The following is an 8,003-nucleotide window of genomic DNA, read 5'->3' as shown; positions in this document are numbered from 1 at the left end:
TAAATGGCTTGCATATAAATCAGATTTCATTCAAGATTTAAATCACTGAAATATAACATGAAATAAGCAGAAGCATGTAATTTGCTCAGTTGCTCCTCAAAATTGTTGAGATTTAGATCTTTTCCAAATTCAGCTGTTAGAATACCTATCAAAGCTTACTATTCAAGAACCGTTTATATGAAGAGATAATTTGATGATGTTACACTTACTTTGCAGATAAAATTTAGCTTTCATAGAGACAGAGAAAATAAGAGTCAAGCAGTTATCTGTGCAATACTCCTAGATCATTACTCTTAGCTTTGTGTCACTGTGATACCAAAGTTGAAAAATATTGAGCATTTCAACTGGTTGTATTATACTCTTAAAATAAAAAATAGTGTTTATCATTCTCCTTTTAAAAATTATGTAAACATGATAATGTCAAAGATAAACAACATGAGGAAGGGAATGCTGAGATTTCTACTTTCCCCTCTGGCATATTGAGTCAATCATTATCATTCATAGAGTGCATTAAAAATACATCCACTCTTGAGTATTCTGACTTTTGCTTTTACAGATGACACTGGGTCTCAAAATAGCTCATTGATGATTACTGCAAATAAGCTAAAAGACATTATCTCTTTTAGTCTCACAGAATTTTTCATACAGTTTTAATCTCCTGAGGTTGAAAAACTTGAAAATTGAAATGCATGTAAGAACAAATCACATAAGGAAAACAAAAACAATACATTGAAATTGGAATGGCTCTCATTTAAAATACATGAAGTCTAAAAAGTCTACAAATTGCTTTATTTCAGTATGATGAAAGACTAATATTTCCTATTTTACATCAGGAAATATTTGAAGTCTAAGAGTCCACAGCCTTCCTTGTACGTTATCACATTTAAATCTCACAATAACCCTACAGGGTAGAAACTATTAATAAGGGTACATACCAATGAGGAATTCATAGCTCAAAGAAGTTAAATAGCATGTACAATGTTAGACAACTGTATTAAAGTGGTAACACAAATAATTCATAAAATATACCAAACCACAAAATATGCTTTGAGTCACAGTTGGTTCTAAATAAATAAATGCATTTCTTTTTTTCTTTTTACCTCATTCACTGAACTTAAGAATTTTCTAAGTTCATAACAAATGTTAAATACAAAGGTTTTGTCATATTTTTACTAAGATGGTGAACATGAAACATGCCTATGTGTGACACTGCAAGTCCCCATGACTTCCACCCTCTTCTCCATTCTACTATGGAAATATGTCCCCAAATTTGACCTGGTTTTAAAGAACTAGGACAGTTCTGGGTTTCTTGGAGTCAGGGCATATAGGAAAACAAATGTTGCCTTTTCCTATGGCAATCTTAATACAAATCTTTATGTTGACACATTTTACTTATGTCTTTCCTTTTTATTTCACTTTGCCTTAAGGCAAAGATGAGACAACAAAGACATGGAAACAGTTTCATTCTTTAAAGTATTTGGTGCTATACAGAGGCAGAAATACAACTTTCAGACTTCTTGGTTTTCTTTCCACCTCCTTACTCTGAGACAGAGATCCAGTTTATATGTACATTCTATCTTATAAATCAACACTGACAGTTGTATAATTTTAAATGTAAACAAGGACAAAAAAGAATAGAAAATAAGCACATTTTAGGACACAGAATAATCAAAGCCAACATATTATAATATTTAGTTTATTGCAATATTGTGGAGACAACATGTACTCTCCCACTACTCTGCCCAACACAAAAAAACAACCTAGAAACAGCAAATACTATTAAAATATGAATTTAAAATATTAGATGTGGCATGTGCTTGTGTGTGTGTGTGTGTGTATGTGTGTATTTGGGGAATTGTAATGGGAATGGCATGCTCTACCCTCTAGAGTGATCTCTGGCCCCCTTCATTCCACTTTCCATAACAAGCATGGGCAGAGCCATCTGGCTTACATACATTCACATGAAGCATTAGCTGAAAGTAGCAATAATATATTGAATTATCAATGATACATATATTATAATGAATGAGCTTATAATGGAAGAAATGAACTCTCCTCCACTTAGTGCAATATTCCTTGCAATCTTCATTTATTAACACTTCCTCACATCATGATGGCAGTATTGCAAAGATTTATACTAGAGGAATGGCCTGGAAAAGAGGCCAACAGTATTAGTCAGTCTGATTTTAATCTAAGCCTAATGCCTGCCTCTAGTTTGGCCCAAAACTGCTTATAAAGCTCTTCTGCAGTCTAGTTCAATTAACCAGGTGTCTTTACCATGCAAATAAGGTAAAGGAAAAGGAAAAGGAAAAATCAAGAACAACTGATACATATTTGGCTAAAAACACTGCATGTAAGTGATAGTATTTATTGAGCAGGAAGGAATACTGCTTGTTGATGATGGAGAGAGTTCTTATTTGGCCATGTTAAGTTAGAAATATCTTAGATCTTCAATAAAAGTATCGAGTGAGAAGTTTTATAAAAATTATAACACATTGATGAAAGTGTATTTGAGAGTTTTAATGGGAGTGGCATGCTCTACCCTCTAGAGTGATCTCACGTCCTCTTCATTCCATTTTCCAGAACAAGCATGGGTGGAGCCATCTGGCTTGCATATATCCACATGAAGCATCAGCTAAAGTGTCAATAATATAGAATTACTAATGATACATTATAGTGGGTATATATATGATATTACTGCAGAGAATAATTTGGGGCTCATTGACACATGGCCAACATTTAAAATAAGAGAATTAGATAGGCTCCCTTAGAAGCAACAACATGTTTGAAGAAAAAGAAGCCCAGGACAAGTCTGGACACACCCCAACAATATCACATAGAGCAGAGGAGGATGTGACAAAGGAGGCAAAGTTGGTCAATGAAAACCAGCAGAGATGCCCTTAAATCTTGCAGAAGAAGGTATTTCAATTACCTGTATTCATCATAATAAAAAATCATTTTGAAAAATCAAAATGGTAGCTAAATGTGATATGGAAGAACATTTAAACAATTTTTTTTTCTAAGGTAGGAGCTAGTAAGTTCATATGCTGCCATTCAGAATGATTCACTAGAGACAGAAATTAGTGTTGCAGGATATAAGGGAGATAATTGAAGGAGAGATACTGTGAGAAAAAATGGGATTCTAATTAGAGAGGACGTGTGGGCCTTTGAGAGGAGCAAAGGCCCTGCACTCATCAAGATAGCACAGAAGCACAGCTGTTACAGATGCAGAGATGCATATGAGCTGCTAGATGTGTGCTTACTAGTAGCAGTGTCTCTTTTTTTTTAATAAAGTAAGAGGTAAAGCCATTTGCTAGCTAGGAGGGTTTGAGAGGTAGAATTGTCCACAGAAGAGAAAGTGTGAAATAATCATTTTGGACAGTGGAAAATTAAACATATTGATAGGGACAGGAGGCAGGGAAATTCTGGGCAGAAGAAGGCGGGTCCCCATCAAGGGCCCCACCATCAATCCTGGAGCTATGGCCAAAAGTGAGAACATGCATTCCTGTTTTCCTGATCAAATGTTGCCTTTTCCAAAACCACCCATGGCCCACCCTGCTGCACATCTTGTGCCCATAAAAACTCCAGGCTCCACTGGCAGAAAGAGGAGAAGAGGAGAAGCAGCTGGATGTTGGAGACTACAGTTGGATGTCAAAGAGAAGCAACTTGACTTCAGAGGGATGGCATGACGGTGTAGCTCTACCTTCCAGCTCTTCCCCTTTTCAGCTCCCTTTCCCTCTGAGAGCCATTTTCATCAGCAATAAAGTCCCCCACATTTGCCATATCCAATTTGTTCATGCAAACTTGTTCCTCTTGGACACTGGACAAGAACTTGAATGTAGGTGCAAAAGGCTGTCACACTGACCCTCCACTGTGCTGTTAACACTTAAGCCATACACAGATGACAAAGCTAAAAAAGCACTGACTGTAATACTCCTTCTGGGGCTTTAGGGGTTGCGGCCACCCCCCTAGATACTGTTGTGGGGCTAGTGTGGAATTTGTTACTGCCATCACCCTGGCTTCCATACCTGCTCACCTATATGCTTCCTTCCACGAGGGGTTGAGCGCAGCAGGTCAAATGAGTGGAGTTTGCCCCTGCTGGCACCTGTGTGCTCCAATTCCCACCCACGAAGGAGTCAGGGAAAATTTCCTGCTTCAATACTAAGGAAATACATAAGTTTGCTAGGCAAAGTTGTATAATCTTTGGTAATCTGTGGACATAAATGGAAGAACATTTTATCAGTAGTGAAGAGGTCAAGAAAACAAGGACCCCACTCTGTTTCCTAAGAGACATGAGTAGATATAAATGAAAAAGTCTGTGCTGCTTTCCTCATTTACTTTCTGTTCCCCATTGTAATTAACTATGAGTATCCACTTTCTCTGTCTGCCAATGTTTGGACCTAAATTCACCATAAATTTCCTATATATAGGAATTAATATAAGAAAGATGTTATATTTATAGGTGGGATTAAGGGTCAGGGATATTCCTAACAGTATAGATGGATAGGTACAAAGATCCAAAGAGGTAATACACCATGCCCATCAGAAGGTTTTTTATTGGAAGAAAATCCTTGTGATAAAGAAACTCAGAGGTCTTTGAAATAACTGGACCAACACAAACAAAATGAAATAAAACAAAAAAAAAATCACTAAAATTAACCAAATAAATTCTGCAAGTCAGGAATTTACTTTTATTTTCCTTTTAATTGCTTTATTTACAGAAGTTTCTATGAAAGATTAAAGGAGAACCACAAAAAATTTAGGGAATTTTAAACTTCTCTCATATTGTATATGCTTACGTTGTATACGTGTGTGCATATATCTCTTTTTTCTTGAAGAAAAAACGTGTATACAGGACTCTGTAGGAGAGAGCCTTGCAGAGGTGGGGAACCCCTTTTTATTCAGATACCTTGAATATTTTCCATATTAGAAGTAAATATGCCAACTTCTCACTGCAATTTTATCTTCAAGATTAATAAAATAATGAAGGCTTCAAAAAGTTTAACTATTTCCCCAACTCTTAATAGGCATATCTGAGACATTACTACTTCAACTAATGACAAAATGGTAAGCCAATTTTATTGTTGCTGCTTTTTTCTCTCCCTTTTTTGAGTTTCATTGTTTAGAATTCCTTCCCTGCTGCTTGTAAAATCCCATTCCCTACTTTATAAACATGTGGAATATTTTTGAGAAAGGGAATAACAAATAGGTGAGGAGAAACTTTTCCTGAAATCTACAGTGTAATAACTGCAATTCCTATTCTAGTTCCCAGTGTTTCCAGAAATAGTCTTACTCTATCTCCTCTTGTAGAAATGCTGTAATGAACATAGAGACTTCCAAAGTATTCTAAGTAAAATATATGTTTGCCTTAGTTTTTGCATGGGCTACAACTCTATAAACAATCTCTCTTTACATATACGTCTTCTCCACACATTGCTATATATTCTGCTTTACCCTGAGAAATAACATACAAAATCTCTTTTAAAAATAACAAAAGAAGGCCGGGGGCAGCGGCTCATGCCTGTATTCCCAGCACTTAGGGAGGCCGAGGCGAGTGGATCACGAGGTCAGGAGATTGAGACCATCCAGGCCAACATTGTGAAACCCTGTCTCTACTAAAAATACAGAAACAAAAAAAAAATTAGCTGAGTGTGGTGGTGCATGCCTGTAATCCCAGCTACTCAGGAGGCTGAAGCAGGAGAATCACTTGAACCCAGGAGGTGGAGATTGCAGTGAGCCAAGATCGCACCACTGCACTCCAGTCTGGCAACAGAGTGAGACTGCATCTAAAAAAATAAAAAATAAAAAAAAAAACAGGAGGAACAAATTAAATTACAATTAATAAGTAAAGGAAATAGTTAAAATAGTTATACTAGCCACTTTTCCTGGGTAGTGGCACCTAAATCCCCAGCTTCAGTTTCCACTCATATGCTGATTACTATCTCATGGAAGTGTGCCAGGCTTTTGGCTTCCCTGGTACCTTTGAAAACTCATCTTTTTGGGGGGGATTTCTCGAGCCACTTGTCGGTGATTTCCCAAAATGGATGCCAGAAACACTTTCCCTTCTTTACTAGCAGTTGGGGCACACGTTTGTATGAACTAGGTTGTATCCATCAGACACAGCCGTATGAGACTTGATTAAAAAGTGACTGTAGAAACAAATGTCCTGGAATCCATTCTTCTAGGACCGGCCTTAGAACCATCCAGCTTTCAGACGAAACCCAAGTTATAATATTTTTTAAATTTTATTTTGTGGCATAGATATTTTATTTTTTAATAATTATTTATTTTATTAACTTTTATTTTTAAGTTCAGAGGTACATGTGCAGGTTTGTTATATAGGTAAACTTGCGATGTGGGGTTTCTGGTACAGATTATTTCATCACCCAGGTATTAAGCATAGTACCCATTAGTTATTTTTCATGATCCTCTCCCTCCTCCCACCCTCTTGTAGGCCCCAGTGTGTGTTGTTCCCCTCTATGTATCCATGTTTTCTCATAATTTAGCTCCCATTTATAAGTGAGAACACGTGGTATTTGGCTTTCTGTTCCTTTGCTAGTTTGCTAAGGATAACGGCCCCCAGCTCAATCCGTGTTCCTGCAAAGGACATGATATCATTCTTTTTATGGCTACACAGTATTCTATGGTGTATATGCATTAAATTTTCTTTATCCAGTCTACCATTGATGGACATTTAGGTTGATTCCATGTCTTTGTTATTGTGAATAGTACTGCAATGAACATACATGTGCATATGTGCTTATGACAGAACATTTTATGTTCCTTTGGGTACATACCCAGTAATGGGATTGATGAATTGAGTGGTAGTTCTGTTTTTAGGTCTTTGAGTACTACTATCACACTGTCTTCTACAATGGTTGAACTAATTGACACTCTCACCAACAGTGTATAAGCATTCCCTTTTCTCCACAACCTTATCAGCATCTGTTATTTTTTGACTTTTTAATAATAGTTATTCTGACTGGTGTGAGATGGTATCTCACTGTGGCTTTGATTTGCATTTCTCTAGTGATCTGTGATGTTGAGCTTTGTTTCATATGATTGTTGGCCACATGTATGTTTTCTTTTCAGAAGTGTCTGTTCATGCCCTTTGCCCACTTTTTAATGGGGTTGTTTGTTTTGTTTCTTATAAGTTTGTTTAGGTTCCTTATATATGCCGACTTTTTTCAGATGCATAGTTTGCAAAAATTTTCTCCCATTCTGTGGGTTGTCTGTTTACTCTGTTGAAACTCAAATTATAAGGCAAGGATAACAAGACTGGATAAAAAAATAAGTATTGGTTTTCTAGAGATGCATTTATGAATTCAAAGACACAAATATGTTAACGTGAAAAGATATAAAACCTGTACTATTCAAACCTTAACCATAAGACAGCTGTAGCACATATGTTAATGCTGGTTAAAATGGGAAATCAAACTACAAAGAGAAATTCATCAGACACAACAGAGTGGAAATTTTCTAACTCACTTAGCTTGGTGAATGATTGAATAAATAGAAAAATAATATAGTAACAATACTGAAGTTGGGAACATTAAAGTTATTTAGCAAATATAAAAAATAAGAATTTTAATATATGTACACACAGCATTATTACAGTTGACTTTGTAGAGGTTACAAAACAAATTTCGATACATTCCAAAACATTTACATCATTAGGACTGTATTATACTAAAAGTATATTAAACAGAAATTGTATTCATTTGTTTTCACACTGCTATAAAGAACTACCTGAGACTGGGTAATTTATAAAGAAATGAGGTTTAGTTGACTCACAGTTCTGCATGACTGGAGAGGCCTCAGGAAACTTACTATCATGGTGGAAGGCGGAGAAGCAAGCACCTTCTTTACAAGGTGGCAGGAGAGAGCAAAAAAAAGGAGGGGAATTGCCACACATTTTTAAACCCTCAGATCTCATAAAAAACTCACTTACTATCATAAAAACAATATGTGGGAAACCACCTCCATGATCTAATCACCTCCCA

This window comes from Homo sapiens, chromosome 6 (assembly GCF_000001405.40).
Source record: "Homo sapiens chromosome 6, GRCh38.p14 Primary Assembly".
Lineage (NCBI taxonomy): Eukaryota > Metazoa > Chordata > Mammalia > Primates > Hominidae > Homo > Homo sapiens.
Note: the sequence above shows the minus strand (reverse complement) of the source record.